Source organism: Homo sapiens, chromosome 1 (genome assembly GCF_000001405.40).
Source record: "Homo sapiens chromosome 1, GRCh38.p14 Primary Assembly".
Lineage (NCBI taxonomy): Eukaryota > Metazoa > Chordata > Mammalia > Primates > Hominidae > Homo > Homo sapiens.
The window spans coordinates 225,548,252-225,567,836 of record NC_000001.11 but is presented as its reverse complement, the minus strand read 5'-3'; the positions used below and the strand labels follow the sequence as shown (position 1 = coordinate 225,567,836).

The following is a 19,585-nucleotide window of genomic DNA, read 5'->3' as shown; positions in this document are numbered from 1 at the left end:
AATTAAGCAAATAATGATTAATTTACACTTGTATTAGGTTGGTGCAAAAGTAATTGCAGTTTTTGCCATTAAAATAGCAAAAAGTGCAATTACTTTTGAACCAACATAATAGTTGTATTCAGTTTAGTGAATGAATTAGATACTCAAATTTAGAAGAAACCATTTCTTGTGTTGCTTATCTAAGTGTTCTTCGTGGATCCTGCTCTCCTTTTGGTCTTTTAATTATACTTTATTTTTTTTGGTTTGTCTTCACCATTAGACTGTACACATAAAGACAGGAAGCCTCTGTCTTGTCCATTATTGTTTCCAGCACCCAATAACAGCACTGATCGTTGACTGACTCCTAGGTTTGTGTGGCTATGTGGAACACTTAGCATATTTTAAATATTGCAAGTTTGAATATTTTATTTTATTTTTTACAGTGAACAGAGTATCTGTCAGGCAAGAGCTGCTGTGATGGTTTATGATGATGCCAATAAGAAGTGGGTGCCAGCTGGTGGCTCAACTGGATTCAGCAGAGTTCATATCTATCACCATACAGGCAACAACACATTCAGAGTGGTGGGCAGGAAGATTCAGGACCATCAGGTAAGGCTTTACTACAATTGTTGTTAAAAATGATTTAGTATTACAAAAGGACTTGGCATATTCCGTAAAATAAAGTAGTTTTAAAACTGTAATCAAAATAGTCTCTCTCTGGGAAAAACTGAATATAAAATTGTCTCTCCACCCTTTCTACCTTTTATGAAGCCTGAACTTAAACGAAGATTTAGAACAAGTTGTACAAAAATAGAAATACAAGTTCTTTTATGATGAATTTTCATTAGATTTTCTGGCCTTCAATTAGTTTTTGAAATCTAAAGCAAATTAAGGACAAACAAACAAAACTCTACTTAAGTGGCAGATTGTATGTTTATGGAATTAATTTCCTGCCAATGTTTGGGATATGGGGTTAGAGGAGGGAGTTGAAAGTATAGATAGTTTCAGAAAATACTGTTAAATTCACATGTGATAGAAAAATAGTAGGTATTGAGGTTGCTGGAATAGTTTGGCTTTTGCAGTTCATGTCTGGGGCGACAGCTAAGCTTTTACTAATTCCTCGCTCTGGATTTCTTAGAAAGTAGCTGGATTATCTGATTACTTGATTTCTTGGGCCTTAACAGATCAACAGCAGTAGATAGAGGAAAAGGCAGATAAGCTCTTACTAGCATTAACTATATACTAATAGTAAGAACTTTTATAAAGAGTAGATTTACAAAATACTTTGGGAAAAAATATTTACCAAAGATGTTGGAATCAACTGACTTTAAAAATCATCCTGCTACACATGCGGAAAGAATGTAACAAATTTTCTTCTTCATTGCCCAGCTGAGCTCTTATGAAGAAAGGTAAGTTCCTAGGTTTCCCCTACATTGTGTGGTAGTGTGGTGTAAACAGATGCTGCATTAGCCCTGGGTTTTAGGATGGTGATTATGGATTGGTAAGATTTGTCATGTATGCATATAGGGGCTGTGGGCCTACGAGAGGTTGGGCTGTGAAACTGGTATTTTGGCAAAACAAACAAACAAACAAAAAAACACACAAAAAAACTAGCAATCTTAGAGGGGCTACACCCCGTAGAAAGAAGACAAGAGAAATCCTTCTATCAGCACAGGGAAGCAAAGGAGTGTGTTGCTTTCTTAGCTGGCTTAGAAGCTCCCCCGAGAAATGAGAAACTCCTTCACTTAAGCAACTTAAGCCAAGAAATTAGGAAACACTGGTTGTAGAGCACTGAAACTGTTGGGGCACGTGGTAAAAACAAATGTGGTGCCTGCGTGGAGATGAACTTTCACAGCTCTGAGTCAATCTGTGGAAAGAGCAATTCTCTGAATTTACCAGATTTATCCATTTATACAGACGGTTTCGGCCTGCCTCTCTTTCTGCCCTCTCTGGCTCCCTTCTGTCTGTCTCTCCCCTGTGCCCCGCCCTCTTCTTTTCCCTCCTTAGTCTTCCTGCGTTTTCCTCTAGGCTCCAGTTTCCTTGTTGTGTTGCACAGCCTTTTTCTGGTCTCCCAGGCTTTTTACCAAGAGCCCCCTTTGTCCCATTTGTAGTCCAGGTTCTGGGGAGCACTGTCTCATCTTTGTCTTTGTTCCAGCAGCGACTTAGTCCAGAGATAAATCAAATACACCCCAAGATGTTATTATGGGGAAAAAAAAAGAAAACTGGACAATTAAAATTTTGTAGAAATTGTTGAACCTTCTTAATACAACATTCCAAACTAATAGCTGTAAAGAAACTACGTTTTTGGTAAATTTAGTGAATTGGTTATTTGAAAGTACTGATGAACAATCCTACATTTAGAGAAACAAAAAAGAATATTTGAAGATAATCAGAAAGAAATTCTTTTTTTTTTTTATTATTTGAGACAGAGTTTTGCTCTTGTCGCCCAGGGTGGAGTGCAATGGCGTGATTGTGGCTCACTGCAACCTCTCCTTCCCGGGTTCAAGCGATTCTCCTGCCTCAGCCTCCAGAGTAGCTGGGATTACAGGCATGTGCCACCATGCCTGGCTAATTTTGTATTTTTAGTAGAGATGGGGTTTCTCTATGTTGGTCAGGCTGGTTTTGAACTCCTGGCCTCAGGTGATCCACCTGCCTCAGCCTCCCAAAGTGCAAGGATTATAGGCGTGAGCCACCGCGCCAGGCTCGGAAAGAAATTTAAGCTAGGAAATTTGCATATGAAATACCAAAATTTTTATTTCTAGGAGAAGTAAACTATCCTATGACTTAGATTTTGGAAAATAGAATGTTTCTTAAAACATTTAAAAATTTAAAACTGTGCTTCTAAATTGTGACATTAAGAGGAAATTATTATGTATATTAAAAAATATTTAGAAAATAAGAAAACACTGAGACCTGAGTGATATTACATATAGAAACCTGTAGGACATCTAAGCTGTCCTTAGATGGACAAGTCTTAATTGTATGTAGTAGGAAAAAAAGGGAAACTAAAAAATAATGAGCTTAACCCAAAGAAAACAGAAGAAAATATTAAAAAGATATTAATTAAATGAAAATAAATAGTATTTGTTAATACAAAAGCTGCTTCATTGAAAAGATAAACTAGCTGGCGTGGTGGCTCACACCTGTAATCCCAGCTTTTTGGGACGCCAAGGCAGGAAGATTGCTTGCCCAAGAGTTCAAGACCAGCCTGGTCAACATAATGAGACTCTGTCTCTACAAAACTATTTTTTAAAACCCAAACAGGCCAGGCGTGGTGGTGCTTGTCTGTAATCCCAGCACTTTGGGAGGCCAAGGTGGGTGGATCACCTGAGGTCTGGAGTTCGCAACCAGCCTGACTAACATGGTGAAACCCCGTCTCTACTAAAAAAAAAAAAAAAAAAAATAGTCGGGCATGGTGGTGCATGCCTGTAATTCGAGCTACTTGGGAGGCTGAGGCAGGAGAATCGCTTGTACCTGGGAGCGGAGGTTGCGGTGAGCCGAGATTGCGCCATTGCACTCCAGCCTGGGCAACAAGAGCGAAACACCATCTCAAAAAAAAACAAAAAACCCCAAACAACTAGCCAGGTGTGATGTGTGTGCCTGTAGTCCCAGCTACTCGAGAGGCTGAGGTGGAAGAATCACTTAAACCTGGAAGGTGGAGACTGTAGTAAGTGTGATTGTGCCACTGCACTCCAACCTGGGAGACAGAACAAGACCATGTCTCAAAAAAACAAACAAAAAAAACTTGCAGAATCAAACAAAAAAAAGGAACAGTACAAATAACCAATTTTAGGAATGAAAAAAAGAATACCACTATAGTTACTGAAGGAAATAAAATATTATAAAAAACTTTATGCCAGTAAGTGGGCCATTTTGTAGAAAAACGTAACTTTCTAAAACTGAAGAGTAGGAAAACGTGATAGACCTACAATCATGAAATAAATAAATAGTAAATAATCTGCCCCCCAAATTTTAAAAAGCTGCAGGAGAGTACAGAGCATTTACAAATGAAATCTAAAATGTCATGATATTTTCTGTTTTATGCAACCATTGTAGAGAATGATATTTTATAAGGCTTGTATAATTTTGATATCCAAAACACAGAACACGTTTGGGAGAGGAGCCAGTCTTCAGTTATGAATATATACCTAGATATAATAGTCCTCAATAAGATATTAGCAGACCAAATGTAGTAATGAGTAAAAAACAAAACAAAAGCACTTCTTGATCAAATAGGGCTTATCATTGTTTGCCTTAGTAATATAAGGATGGTTAACATTAGATAACTTACTAATGTTATTTCCCAGGAGAAAACCTACAAAAGCAAGAGGTTCTGGAAAAAGCATTTGATAAAATTTGAATCAATACATAACAGTTCTCATCACATTAGGCATAAAATTAATCTTGTTAAGCTGATATGGGTAGATAATAGAAGCATACAGCAGGTATCTTACAGGATTGTACAGTGTCAAGAGCATTCCCGTTAAACTTGTGAATAAATTGAGCATTTCAGCTCTAATCACTTTCATTTAGTGATACAGAGGAGGTACTAGATAACCTAGCCATACAAAGTTTAAGAAATAGAAGCAGTAAGAATTGATAAGAAAGAAACAGCTGGTTACTCACCAATGATGTAATTGTCTGCATAAAAATCTCCCAGGAGTATCTGCGGATAAACTATTAGAACTAACAAGATTTTCAGTGAGGTTGCTGGTTACGTGATCAGTATATAAAAGCCACTCGCATTTTTGTATAAGCAATAAACGATTAGAAAATATAATTTTATTAATATAATGATACTTAAGGAAACACCATCCCTAAGAATAAATCTAATAAATAATTGGTTTTCTGTCTTTCATTCTTGCATTTCGGGTTTTTTTTTTTTGACACAGAGTTTTGCTCTGTTGCCCAGGCTGGAATGCAGTGGTGTGACCATAGCTCACTGCAGCCTTGACCTCCTGGGCTCAAGTGATCCTTCTGCCTCAGTCTCCTGAGTAGCTGAGATTATAGGCATGAGCCACTGTGGCTGGCCATCATTCTTACATATCTTAATGGTTATCAGTCTGTTCTAAGTGGGCACATGTTGTTATAATTTACTAAATATCTAAACTTTCTATAGTAAGAGCTGTTAAAACCACCCACCATTTACTTACAAAATTGAATATGTACAATTATATAAATATGTTATATAAAAAAATACTTCATTTTCCAGCCTAACATTTATTAAGTGCTTATGGGTACTATGCTTGGGTGTGTTTTTTTTTTTTTTTTTTTTTTTTTTTTTTTGAGACGCAGTCTCGCTCTGTCGCCCAGGCTGGAGTGCAGTGGCTCGATCTCAGCTCACTGCAAGCTCTGCCTTCCGGGTTCATGCCATTCTCCTGCCTCAGCCTCCCGAGCAGCTGGGACTATAGGCGCCTGTCACCACGCCCGGTTAATTTTTTGTATTTTTAGTAGAGATGGGGTTTCACCATGTTAGCCAGGATGGTCTCGATCTCCTGACCTCGTGATCTGCCCGCCTCAGCCTCCCAAAGTGCTGGGATTACAGGCGTGAGCCACTGCGCCCGGCCTGTGCTTGGGTTTTATATAGAATATCGTTCCTGACCTTGAATCAAAGATGCAGTAAAGAATGGGAATGTTGGCTGGGTGCAGTGGCTCACGCCTTTAATCTCAGTACTTTGGGAGGCCGAGGTGAGTGGATCACAAGCTCAGGAGTTTGAGAAGAGCCTGACTACCATGGTGAAACCCAGTCTCTACTAAAAATACAAAAATTAGCCAGACGTAGTGGCGCGCGCCTGTAATCCCAGCTACTCAGGAGGCTGAGGCAGGATGGAGATGTTAAGCACATAAGCAAAGAACCACAGTTAAATGTTTCAGTTGTGATAAGTGTAAAATAGAGCACAGTGAGGGCATAAAAGCATCATCAGTTTGTTGAGAAGATAGGAGAAAGGGTCATGTATGACCTCATAGACAGGATAAGATAGTGAGCGAGGTCACAAGGAACTGTGGGTGTTTACTGCACTGTTTACTCTGTTATGGTCAGGCTAAAAATGTATAGGCATGTGTGAGATGGAACGTCACCACCAGTCTAGACTCAAGCTCACTGGTTCTGAAGCACAGAATTTAGGATTATGATGTAGTCCAAACCTGACAGCATGCTCAGTGGACATCCAATAAGTAGTTATTAAGTGAACATACTAATTTTATTTTATTTTATTTTATTTTATTTTATTTTATTTTAAGACGGAATCTCACTCTGTCGCCAGGCTGGAGTGCAGTGGCGCCATCTCAACTCACTGCAACCTTCAACTCCCTGGTTCAAGTGATTCTCCTGCCTCAGCCTCCCAAGCAGCTGGGATTACAGGCATGTGCCACCACACCTGGCTAATTTTTATATTTTTAGTAGAGACAGGGTTTCACCATGTTGGCCAGGTTGGTTTCGATCTCCTGACCTCATGATCTGCTTGCCTCCGCCTCCCAAAGTGCTGGGATTACAGGCGTAAGCCACTGCACCCAGCCTGAAAATATTTAATTTTAATACTTTTAAAGATTATTTGCAGTACTGTCTATCCTCAATGGTTAGATGAGTGAAAGAATTAATTCAGATTAAAAAAAATTTGTTTTTGTTTTTGAGACGGAGTCTCACTGTCACCAGGCTGGCGTGCAGTGGTGCGATCTCTGCTCGCTGCAGCCTGACTTCCCTGGTTCAAGCTTTTCTCCTGCCTCAGCCTCCCGAGTAGCAGGGATTACAGGCACGCACCACCAAGCCCAGCTAATTTTTGTATTTTCAGTAGAGACAGGGTTTCACCATGTTGGCCAGGATGGTCTCAATCTCCTGACATCGTGATCTGCCCGCCTTGGCCTCCCAAAGTGCTGGGATTACAGGCATGAGCCACTGTGCCCAACCCCAGATTTCAAATTTTTATATTGGAAAAAGGAAACAGTAGTTTATGTAATTTTGATCCTAGTAATATTTTCCACAACTTTTTCTAGCATTCTGTTATGAACAATTGAAAAAGTAAATGTAACACATCTTTTCTCTTGTTTGCCATTTTAAGCTGTTTGCCAAGCAGGGATATTGATTTGCCTTAAAATGGGTCTTCTAATTTTCTGATAATGTTAAAATTTAGTAGCTTTGGGTTTCTAGTGTCTTCTAAGGAATTGTGACACCCCCACCCCAATATTTATAAAAACCACATCAGGAGGGTGGGCACAGTGGCTTGTGCCTATAGTCCCAGCTATTTGGGAGGCTGAGGCAGGATAACTGCCTAGGGCCAGGAGTTCAAGACTGTCGTGTCCCATGATTGTGCCTGTGAATAGCCACTGCACTCCAGCCTTATGGTAAAATGTGCATAACATTTAATCTTTTTTTTTTTTTGTCTCACTCTGTCACCCAGGCTGCAGTGCACTGGCATGATCTCGGCTCACTGCAACCTTAGCCTCCCGGGTTCAAGTGATTCTCCTGCCTCAGTCTCCCAAGTAGCTGGATTACAGGCATGTGCCACCATGCCTGGCTAATTTTTGTATTTTTAGTAGAGACAGGGTTTTGCCATGTTGGCCAGGCTGGTCTCGAACTCCTGACCTCAAGTGATCTACCTGCCTCAGCCTCCCAAAGTGCTGGAATTACCATGAGCTACCTCCAGCCTTGGGGGGCACAGGAAGCCCTTGTCTCAGGAAAAAAAAAAAAAAGTTCAGATTTGCCTAGGTTCTAGTAAACAGAGTGCTACCCATCCCAAATTGAGGAAGTCCCAATGGGGATGTCCTGGTAGTGTGGGAAGGCTGGCTATGGTGCTGCTGAACAGCCACTTTGACTCGGTGTCTCCTTTGGCCAAGTTACAGAGCAGACTTTCTGGGCTAGTCCTGCTTCCCCACTTTGGCTGTTCTCAGGGATATTTCTCCCTTCTGGCACTCCCAATGCTTCCCATGGTTTGAGATGACAGATGAGTCTTTTGCCGTGAACCCAGGATGGTGGAGAAGTTTGTTGTTTACCTTGATCTCACTTTTTCCAGTGTAGAAGGCGTGAGTTGGGGGAGATTTTCTGCGTGCTTGGTGCCAACAGGCTGTGGGGAGGGCCATTGTGGATATGGAGGTCTGATTCTCTTACTGTCTGCTGAGAGCTTTTTTATTTCTCTGTGTCTCCAGGAACTGTCTCCTACTCCTATTTGAGTTGTGGGATATTGCTGGTGCTGTATACTTGATTTTGTTTTGTTGGGGTGCAGGGAGAGTAGGGAACTATTAGGTTGGTGCAAAAGTAATGGTGGTTTTTGCCATAGCTTGCTTCTGCGCTGCCATTTTGGAACCAGATATTTCACAGTTCCTCTTGTTCTGGTTACAAATTTATGAGTCACAGCAGGAGACTTTAACTTACTTCTGTTAGTAACTGATGGAACAGGCAGTCAGAAAAAAAGGTCTGTAAGAATGTATAGAAGGTTTGAACAATACAATTACCTCCCTAGCCTAATTGACATATATACCACATACCTTTGAAATGTACGTCACAATTTCAAAATTGTATATATGCTTGGCCCTAAAGAAAGTGTCAACAAATTTCAAAGGATTAAAATCATACAAAGTGTATGGTCACAGCAGAATTAATCTAGAAATAAGATAATAGAGAATCCCATAGGTGTAGGTGTTAAGAAATACCTTTCTGAATAGTCCATGAGTCCGAGAAGAAATCACGATGAAATAAGAAAAATTGGTTGAGCTGAATAATGATGAACATGCCACATATTAACACTAATAGAATGCAACTAAACTTGTGATTAAAATGAAATTTAGAGGCTAAAATGTTTATCTTGAAAAAGAAGTATTGTTGACTTTTCAGCCAGAACTCAGGATGCATCTCAAGAAATTAAATAATAGGCCATTAAAGCCATATAGAATATTAATAGAAAGAGGGTAACAATAAAGATAAGAGCAGAAACAGGCCAGGCGCAGTGGCTTACGCCTGTAATCCCAGCACTTTGGGAGGCCGAGGTGGGCAGATCACGAGGTCAGGAGATCAAGACCTTCCTGGCTAACATGGTGAAACTCTGTCTCTACTAAAAATACAAAAAATTAGCCGGGTGTGTTGGCGGGCGCCTGTAGTCCCAGCTACTCGGGAGGCTGAGGCAGGAGAATGGCGTGAACCTGGGAGGCGGAGTTTGCAGTGAGCCGAGATCGCGCCACTGCACTCCAGCCTGGGCGACAGAGCGAGACTCCATCTCAAAAAAAAAAAAAAAAAAAAAAAAGGCAGAAATTAATGCAGTAGAAAGCAAACACACTAAGGAGGAGAGGTTTGTCTCTAAAGTCCTTGTGAGGGACAGCTCTTGAAAAAAAAAATGGTTTAACCATTATGAAGAAAGAAGGGACATCACTGTGAATCTTACAGACATTTAAGTGATTAAGGAGATATTTTGAGCTACTTTATTTTAGTAATTTTGAAAATGTAGATGTAGAAATTCCTACGAAAACACTTTAAAGAAATTAAGACTATCATTAAAAGAAGTAAAAGGAAGAAAACTTTGTTTAGCTGGCTCTACTGGTGGTGTTCTTTTCAACCAATCCTTTAAAGAACACCAGTATTACGTACTTTTTTCCAGAGAATACAAAAAGAGGATGCCTATCTTTTTGTCAACTCTACAGTGCCAATTCATTTTAAGTCCAGCATTACTTTGGTATCAAAACCTGGTATGAATACAATAGAGAGGAAATTACAGGTTAATCTCACTCATAAAAGTACATGTAAAAATTTCAAACAGAGCAATATCAAACAAAAATCTAGAGATTTATAAAAATTGATATATGAGGACCAAGATTGTTTATCCTAGGAATGTAAGGTTGGTTTAATACTAGAAAATCATCAGTGTAACTTACTGCATAAAAACAGAAAAACCAGTCACCTCAAGAGATGTTGGGGAGGACTTGATAAAATGCAGTATTCAATCATGATGGAAACCCTTAGCTGTCAAGTAGTAGGGTTTTTCCCCAGATAAAAGATATCAATAAAATTATTACATGAAAAGTCATTTATTTATTTATATATTTATTTATTTTTTGAGACAGAGTGTCACTCTGTTGCCCAGGCTGGAGTGCAGTGGCAGAGTCTCAGCTCACTGCAACCTCTGCTTCCTGGGTTCAAGTGATTCTTCTGCCTCAGCCTCCCAAGTAGCTGGGATTACAGGCACATGCCACCACGCCTGGCTAAGTTTTGTATTTTTAGTAGAGACGGGGTTTCACCATGTTGGCCAGGCTGGTCTTGAACTCCTGACGTCAAGTGATCCACCTGCCTTGGCCTCCCAAAGTGCTGGAATTACAGGCATGATCCACCTGCCTGGTGTGAAAGATCATACTTTTAACGGTTTAATTGAGAAAGCTTTCCTTCTAAAATCAGAAAATAAAGATACTTGTTATGAACACTTTTTTTCAGCATTGTATTGTTATTTCTAGCCAGTGTATGGAGATAAATACATTGTGAATGGATTGGAAAGGAAGAAATAAAGCTGTCCATTGCCGATCACATGATTGTGTATTTAGAGGAAAAAACCTTAATGTAAATTATTAGGAATATTAGAAGATTCTAATACTTAGAACTCGATTAATAATAGAAAATAATAAATCTAATGAAAGATCCTCAAGACCCCTATAAAGATACTTAAGAGCCTCCTCAGATTGATATGTTAGCTTTCATGCAACCTCAAAGTCCCCAAAATTTCTTTGGTAGAAACTGATAATCAGAATGTAAAACTAGCTGCACACAAAGGACTGAGAAGAGCCAAAGCAATTTTGAAGAATGAAACAGGAAGACACACTCTAATGGTCATCTAGATTTCGTATAAAGCTACAACAGTTAAGACATTGTAGAGTTGGCAAAAAGGCATATTGATCTGTAGGTGAAAATAGAGCCTTATAGACACTTGATTTATGTGCTGCAGGCAAACCTGCAGCACAGTGATAGTGCTGGATCATTTGGACAGCCATATTGAAACAAATAGCAAACTTGATCCCTACCTCACACCATAGGCACAGATCAATTCCAGTTGGATTGGGGATAGAAATATGAAAGGTAAAATAATAAAGCTTCTACAAGATAATATGGGACAATATTTTCATGACCTTGTGATTGAGAAACATTTGTTAAACAGGGCACTAAAGCAGTAACTATAAAGGAAAAGATTGCTAATTTGAACAGAATCAAAGTGAAGAACTTACATCCATCAAGACACCGTTAAGAGTGAAAAGGCGATTCATAGAATGGCATAAGATATATGCATCACAGATAACCAACAATGATATCATATCTAGAATATATAAAGGGCTTAGAAATCAAAGAAGAAAAAAGTTGACAACTCAGGAGAAAAATGGACAAGAGACTTAATTCAAGCAGATATTCACAAAAAGAGACATCTAGATACCTAATAAAAATCAGGGAAATGCAAACTAAAACTGCAGTGATAAAGCATTCATACCCACCAGAATTGCTAAAATAAAGACTGACAGTACCAGTTGTAATGTTGCATAGTATGTAGAAGTAGCACAAGCTCTTGTATACTCTTGTGGAAATGTAAATTACTAGAACCAATTTGGAAAGCTACTTGGAATTTTCTACTAGAGCTGAACATACACATGTCCTGTGATATTTCCACTCCTGGGTATATGCCCAACAAAAATGAATGCTTGTTTGTACCAAAAGACATGCAGTAGAAAGTTCATAACATCGCAATTTTTAATAGCCCAAACTGCAAATAATCCAATTGTTCATTAATGGGAGAATGGTTAAATAAATATGATTTATACAAACGACTACCATAGAGCAGTGAAAATGAACAAACCACAGCTGCATGCAACAAGTGGATGGCTCTTACAATTTTGAGGATAAGAGAGCAGATACGTTTAATACATGTTGTATAACTCCATTTATATAAAATCCAAAAACCTACAAAACTCGATTAATAATAGGAAATAAATCTAATGAAAGATACTTAAGACCCCTATATAGATACTCAAGACCCTCCTCAGAATGATATGTTAGTTTTTGGATTTCATATAAATGTAGTAATTTATGATGTTAGAAGTGTGGCTAGTACCTTTTGGGAGGTGGGAGGAGTTAAGAAGAGGGGCTTCTGGTGTTGCTGTTTGATTTCTTAATCAGGGTACTGACTTCATGTGAACATTCAGAGAGATACACTCTTAGGTTGTGTATACTTTTTTGTATTTGTAAAACTTCAGCAAACAAGTTAAAATATATTTAATGAGGAAAATTTTTTTTTGTTTTGCTGATTTACTTTTTTTTTTTTTGAGACAGAGTCTCGCTCTATCGCCCAGGCTGGAGTGCAGTGGTGTGATCTTGGCTCCCTGCTAACTCTGCCTCCTGGATTCACGCCATTTTCTTGCCTCAGCCTCCCGAGTAGCTGGGACTACAGGCACCCGCCACTGCGCCTGGCTAATTTTTTGTATTTTTAGTAGAGATGGGGTTTCACCGTGTTAGCCAGGATGGTCTCAATCTCCTGACCTCATGATCTGCCTGCCTCGAGCCCTCCCAAAGTGCTGGGATTACAGGCGTGAGCCACCGTGCCCGGCTGATTTACTGTTTTATGGCAGACCTTTGTAATCAGCGAAAAGCTTAACTTCTATCAGACTGATATTTGTGTAGATTTTACCCAGATAATTGTTTAAGCAATTTTTGCCAAGGTCTGTTAGGAACACATTTGAATGAATATATACAATCAGCATTTGTTGACATCCTTGATTTTGCCAATTATTGGTTTGACTTTATAAAGAATTATTATTTTTTAGGTCGTGATAAACTGTGCCATTCCTAAAGGGTTGAAGTACAATCAAGCTACACAGACCTTCCACCAGTGGCGAGATGCTAGACAGGTGTATGGTCTCAACTTTGGCAGCAAAGAGGATGCCAATGTCTTCGCAAGTGCCATGATGCATGCCTTAGAAGTGTTAAATTCACAGGAAACAGGTAAGGTGCCCATGGTTTATTTGTATTTTCTTTCTTTTTCCAGAGACAAAGCAAAACTGAAGATTTACTTGTATTCTTGAACTGAAGTGCCATGTGTATGTTAAAACAAATGTTTGTTAACTTTTAGATCTTGTATATATTTGAAGTAGTTTTTGAATTTTTATTTTCTATAGAAATGTGAACTTTTTATTGATGATAAATGTATAATCTAGAAAGATAATCCTGTGAGTTTAGTTCTTTTTAATTCTGTAACCCTTTTATTTGAAGTATTTAGATGGGTTTCATCCTGCTTTAGAAACACTTCCGTTGCAAGTACATGAAGCCCAGAGAATATGCAGTGGATAGGAATTATGCTTATTTATCATCTTTGTGTAAAGAAACACATGTTTTCTGAAAGACATTTTTCAAAGCATGGACTTGAAGTAGGACTGGGTCTCCTTCCCAGTAGGTAAAAATGTGATTCTCGGTTTTTTTAAAGATTTTAGGAGTGCCCTCAGGTGGTATCAGTCATGAATTGCATCTCCTCTGATAGTGCATATTGGTTAGAAATATATATAGAAATCACTTTTTAAAAAAATCTCAATTTTTAAAAACTGTACATATGTCAAGGATAAGCTCAGTTTTGTCTTGGTTTAAAAAATAGAAAAATGTACCAGTGTGTGGTTATTTCTTTGAAGAGAGAGATTTTATAATCAGGAAATAATTGTTATACATGAAAACACAAATATGATTACTCTTGCCTATATTGTATATTTAGTAATGATTTTAATGATATAAATGTACTGTAAACAATATATATTTTAAGAGGAAAGAGTTGCAGTCAGATGAAAATTTGATACTTTGTTGAAAGTGTAGAATATCAAAATCTGTTCAAAATCTGTTATAAATACATTAAACAATGTATATGTTGCCTTATACTAAAAAGGGTTGAAGCATCTAGCTGGTGTGTTAGTCTGTCAAATACTAATTTCAGAGCAAGAAGACATTTTGGGATCTTGCAGAAACTTAAAGTTGTTATGCCTTTAGATGTTTTGTATCAGATCTTCTTTTGAGGAAATTAATATCAATACATAACTTATACATAGGTTGCATATTTTGTCTAGTTTGAGAAAATAAACCACTAGAACTTGGCCTGGTGTGTCTCTAAGTCCAGAAAATAGCATAGGAAAGTCTGTATAGTCTTGTATGTAGGTCATTTCTCTAAGTCTCTGTACTTCTCTCCTAGGTGTCAGTATTTTATTGGCATGCTATCATAGGTATAGAATTGCTTTTCATTTACTGTAGTTTTACCATAGGGAAGAAGCTAGAATTGTGATTCTTTTTTTTTTTTTCTTAATATCTTGTTGGATAGGTCAGTTATGTGATAAATAATTAAGGTACCAAAGTTTGGAGAGTAGACATTTGACTATCCCGTGTTTTAGAACAAACTAGCATTATTTTTATTTCTAAACTTTCAAAAGTGTATCCGTTGATATTAGAAACTAAATGTTACTGATATTAGGAACTTATATTGGAAACTAAATGTTCCTTTTTTAAAAGTAGTTAAAATTTTATTATTCCTCTTGTCATTGACTTTTGATTTTTAGTTTTTAGCCAAATGGAAAGGATTGTTTCTCTCAATGAGTAGTCATATGGTTTGATTTCAAAATGCAAATTTATTTATTTATTTTTTGAGACGGAGCCTAGCTCTGTTGCCCAGGCTGGAGTGCAGTGACGCGATCTTGGCTCACTGCAACCTCTGCCTCCCGGGTTCGAGTGATTCTCCCTCCTTAGCCTCCCAGGTAGCTGGGATTACCGGTGCTCACCACCACACCCAGCTAATTTTTGTATTTTTAATAGAGATGGCGTTTCACCATATTGGCCAGGCTGGTCTCAAACTTCTGACCTCAAGTGATCTGCCCACCTCGGCCTCCCAAAGTGCTGGGATTACAGGCATGAGCCACCGTGCACAGCCTTTTTTTAAATCTTGATCTTTTCAAATTAATGAATCTTAATGTGGAGAGACTCAATTACATTCTCTATTGTAAGGTAATAAGCATTAAGAAACAATGTTCCACATTATAGAAAGTTTGGCAAATAGGAAAATCGGCCATCATTTTACAAGCTACACAAGCATTTTAGTGTGGGAAAAAGGCTTCTTGTTAGATGATTTTGATACTTTATTCTCAGTCACAATCTCAACCACTCATACTAGGGGCTGAGGAAAGAGAGATAATGGTGGAAGAAATGAGTCCATCACAGCTGCCTCCTGGTATTGTGGATCAGTCACTGGCAAGGAAGCTTTTAGTTCTGTAGTTTTTCATCATGGAAAAAAAACCATATAGAATGGCTAAGTTCTAAATAGTCTGATTTACTTAGAAAATGACTGTTTTCATAAATTACTGTAGTTAAATACTATTTCTTATTTTTGATGGCCTTAATTAGTGTGGAAGTAGAAGCATGGGAGAGAGTAAGATGTTAAGAATCAGGGCCGGGCACGGTGGCTCACGCCTGTAATCCCAGCACTTTGGGAGGCTGAGGCGGGTGGATCACGAGGTCAGGAGATTGAGACCATCCTGGCTAACATGGTGAAACCCTGTCTCTACTAAAAAATACAAAAAAATTAGCCGGGCGTGGTGGCGGGCGCCTGTAGTCCCAGCTACTCGGGAGGCTGAGGCAGGAGAATGGTGTGAACCCGGGAGGCGGAGCTTGCAGTGAGCTGAGATCGTGCCACTGCTCTCCAGCCTGGGCGACTGAGCAAGACTCTGTCTCAAAAAAAAAAAAAAAAAAAAGAATCAGGAGTGTTCTTGGGAATAGATATAATTTCTTACGCAGATTCTCCAGTGTAGAAAAGGTATGTACCCTACCCCAACATTATATGGGCCACCTCCCCTTTATCTAAACAAACATACCCAATAATGTCACCTCTCAGTTTGATCATACCCTGCCAAAAATCTTTGCTTTGGATTCACAGCCAATTGGCTGCTGAAATCATCTACTGTCTTTCTTCCAAAACCAAGTTGAAAAAGCTTAACTTACATCTCCCTTCCCTTTACAAACTGTAGCCTGATAAAACTGATGAGAAGCAGAACAAACTTATTGATAAAGCAACTACAAATATTAGTCTTGCCTGTTTCTTAATGTTTTACCACTTGTTAAAACATTTTTCCATATTAAACATTTCTGTTTGTATTTTTATTTATTAGGTGCTAATATCAATATTATCCACTGTTGTCATCGGCTAATCCTTCTCAGTGATTTTCAGACTTTAAAAAGTTATGGACATTTTTGTGCAAATGAGATCTTTGGTAGTTCAGTGTATAAATGGACAGAAAATATGGAGCTTCTCTGATTGATATAGGGTTCCGGATCCGCAACCACTGAGATGCCTCCATGGTTCTCTAGAACTGAATTTGAAAATTACTAGCTCACGTTTTGTGCTAAAACCAATAATCACATAATTTTCCTTTCCTCTTCTTCCGTGTCCCCTACGTCCTCAAATTTTTTAAATTTATAAAAAACAGCTTTCTGGGGGGCTAGTCATACCAACCTTTACAAGGTGCTCTGTGTGTTTGTGTGATATTTCCTTTTTTTAATGAAAATGGTGGGTGGCAGAAATGTTTTCCTTTATTTTGTTTTTAACTTGGTATGCAATTATCTAATATACTGGAAAGTACAGAAGGTGCTAAATACAGTGAGTTATATTTGGAAGTTAAAAAAACACAAATCACATGTTCTAACATTTTTGAAAAAGAGCTGAATTAGTGCTCTTCCTTTTATACCAAATGCTACAGTGTATTTTTTCCTTTCTCCATGGAAATGGATTCAATTTTAAATGGGTGTATTACCTAAAGTGATATTTTTGATTTCTCTATTATTTATCCAGTACATTTATAGATTTTTATAGGTAATAGTTATGGATTATATAAACTACAAAGTTAATTTTTGTGATAATTGGTGGAGGCAAATTTGCCCAACTTTTATTTTCTTAAAAGGTTTAAATCATTTGAAAATAGGAAATAATTTTTAAATCCAAAAAAAAGAAAATTATATGCATAACCAGTAAGATTATCCCACTGCTTTTGTTCTCAGCCAAGATGAAGCATGCCTTTTCAAAAAGAACACCCCAAAATAAGTATTTTACCATTATCTAAAAGACTACTTTTGCTGGGTTTTATTTTTTAATCTATTGAACATGAGAACATGGTCAAAAGTCATACCTTCCTTATGGTTGAAATTTTCTAGAGGTTTTATAATATTGAGATTTCATTTTTTAATGATAATTTGGCCTGACATACCTTCCAGTATGTACATTTGTATGAGTTTTATCACAGCATTTAAAAATCTCTTTATGTTTGGAATTAATAGGATTAAAAAAATCTCAGTAGTTTCTAGAAATACTTTATAGTGACAGTTTTGTTTTTTAGTCTTCCAGATTGTTGATATTAATGCAAACAATATTAAGCTTATATCACAAAAATATTTTCAGTAAAGCGTATTTTTTATAAACTGTGTTAGGCACTGGGAATAATACAAAAATGATAAATAAAGCCTGTCCCTTGCCTGATGTCACAGTCGGGCTACAGCTGCCAGAAACAAGGCCAGCAAAATTAGGATACAGCTTGCGAATGTAGTGTGAAGAAAGGCCTTCGGAATACCAAAGAAAATTCTAGGGTCAGGGAAAGCTTTGAAGAGAAGGTGATGTTTCAGCTATGTTTGAAGAATGGGGAGGGCTCATCAGTGATAGAACATTCTAGATAGGTTTGGAAGCATGAGAGCATGGAGCAATTGGGAAATAACAAATATGCCATGATGTGGCTTGGACATGAGAATTTATGTGGTGGGGGTCAGGAGCAGGGCATCCCAAGAGATAAGGTTGGGAAGGGCCTAGTGCTGACGAGTGTGCATGTTATCATGGAGGTGGTGAAGAGTCATTGAAGGATGCTAAATAAAGGATTGATATGATCAAGTTTGTGCTTTAGGACAAGTGTGGTGAGCATGCAAGTTTACAAGCATGAAGATCAATTCAGGACACTGTTGTAATAATACCGGTGAGAAAGATGAGGCCTGAACTGACAAAGTAGAGAGAGGAGAGGAGCAGAATGAAGAGGAGGTGACCAGCTTTCATTTAGTGCTGGCTATACCTGCCACGGCAGTGTTCTAGCTTTCTACCTTTGTCCTCACATAGAAATTAAAGCCATTCTGAGGCAGGAATAATGATCTATTTATTGGTCACCTTCTGTGTGCTTGGTCTTAATCTGGCGTATACATAACCAATCATCTTTATAACAACCCTACAAGGTTGGTGGTATTATCCTTGTTTTAGAAATGAGATTGGCACTTACAGAAGGTCACTACTGTAGTGATGCGAGGACCCACAGCTAGACAGTGGCATTAGTGGCTTTTGTACCGAGGTCTTAGAACTCAACCTCTTTTCTCTTTGTCAGTAAGATGTAATGGGCAGGCCGGGAAGGAGAGAACAGTGTTTTAAAATGATGACCAGGTGTGTCAGTTTGGGCCCCCGGTAAAGATGGTCCTGTTAACCAGAGACAGAGTGAAAGAGGATGGAAGAGGAAATACTGTGCTGCAGATAACACATTTGGTTCTGGATATACTCCATTTGCGGTTCTTTATTAATGCTTTCATGAAATCTTAAAAATTTGGACCTGAAAAGAATCCCAAAGATAACCCTGGACAAAGTTTTTTAGTTTAGCTTTCCGAAACAACTAATCTTATTGGAGAATTAACATTTTGAACCCTATAAAACCTATCTGTTTGGCCAGGTGCGGTGGCATACACCTGTAATCCCAGCACTTAGGGAGGCCGAGGCGGGTGCATCACTTGAGACCAGGAGTTCGAGACCAGCCTGGCTGATATGGTGAAACCTCATCTCTACTAAAAACGCAAAAATTAGCTGGGCGTGGTGGCGGGCACCTGTAGTCCCAATTACTCGGGAGGCCGATGCAGGAGAATTGCTTGAACCCGGGAGGCGGAGGTTGCAGTGAGCTGAGATCGTGCCACTGCACTCCAGCCTGGGTGACAAGAGTAAAAACTCTGCCTCAAAAAAAAAAAAAAAAAATCTGTTCACTAAGTATTAAGTGAGTAACAGGTTTGGGGATTGGGTAGGTGGGGACAGTCTTTTCGTAGGTCTGCCTGCTCTACTTTCTTCTCATACTTACCTCTCACAGTCCTCCCTTTTGTGAATCACAGTAATGTGAGGTTAATATGTCTGTTGTCACTCCCAATTTCCAATTAGAAAGGTTGACATGGAGAGCTGGGATTTCCCCAGGCTGTCCATACCTAGAAAGGGAGGCACAAAGGGGATTGGGTTTTCGAGCCTTCAGGCCATTTATTTTTACTGCGTTTGTCTGGCCTTCAGTTCAAGATCTTCAAAGCATTTTTAAAAACGCCTTTGAGGGAAGTCAGTTTAGAGTGAGAAATTAGGAAAGCAAAAATTTGAATTTACTTTTAGTTTTGTGTTTTTAAGTAAACTGTTAAGGTCTTTATTGTGATTTAGTAGAAAGAACTTGAGTTTAGAGTCAAAAGACTCTAGTTCTGTCTCTCCCTCTGGTGCTTTCTCTAAAGCTATTTCCTAATTTATAAAATGTGAGTCATGAGAATATTTATGTCAGGATATCATGGGAATTAAACAAGGCAAAGGCATAGTATTAAACT

At 38.4% G+C, this 19,585-nt stretch overlaps 1 protein-coding gene across 35 annotated transcripts in view, besides 2 other annotated features; it reads left to right on the top strand.

The window, feature by feature from the left end:
• ENAH (ENAH actin regulator) overlaps window positions 1-19,585 on the top strand; it is a 167,050-nt gene that overhangs the window by 86,042 nt on the left and 61,423 nt on the right. For all 35 annotated transcript variants that reach the window (XM_017001752.2, XM_047424938.1, XM_017001751.2 and 32 more), the window contains 2 exons: window positions 423-588; window positions 12,754-12,931. In XM_017001752.2, coding sequence (XP_016857241.1) covers window positions 423-588; window positions 12,754-12,931 — 344 coding nt within the window. The remainder of the gene's footprint in view (window positions 1-422; window positions 589-12,753; window positions 12,932-19,585) is intronic.
• Window positions 5,413-5,914: an enhancer, noted in NCBI's record as "H3K4me1 hESC enhancer chr1:225749625-225750126 (GRCh37/hg19 assembly coordinates)". NCBI's record gives its function as "activates a minimal SCP1, AML or CMV promoter by ChIP-STARR-seq in primed H9 embryonic stem cells {active_cell/tissue: H9 hESC(primed)}" and the evidence as "EXISTENCE:reporter gene assay evidence [ECO:0000049][PMID:30033119]".
• Window positions 18,345-18,844: an enhancer, noted in NCBI's record as "H3K4me1 hESC enhancer chr1:225736695-225737194 (GRCh37/hg19 assembly coordinates)". NCBI's record gives its function as "activates a minimal SCP1, AML or CMV promoter by ChIP-STARR-seq in naive H9 embryonic stem cells {active_cell/tissue: H9 hESC(naive)}" and the evidence as "EXISTENCE:reporter gene assay evidence [ECO:0000049][PMID:30033119]".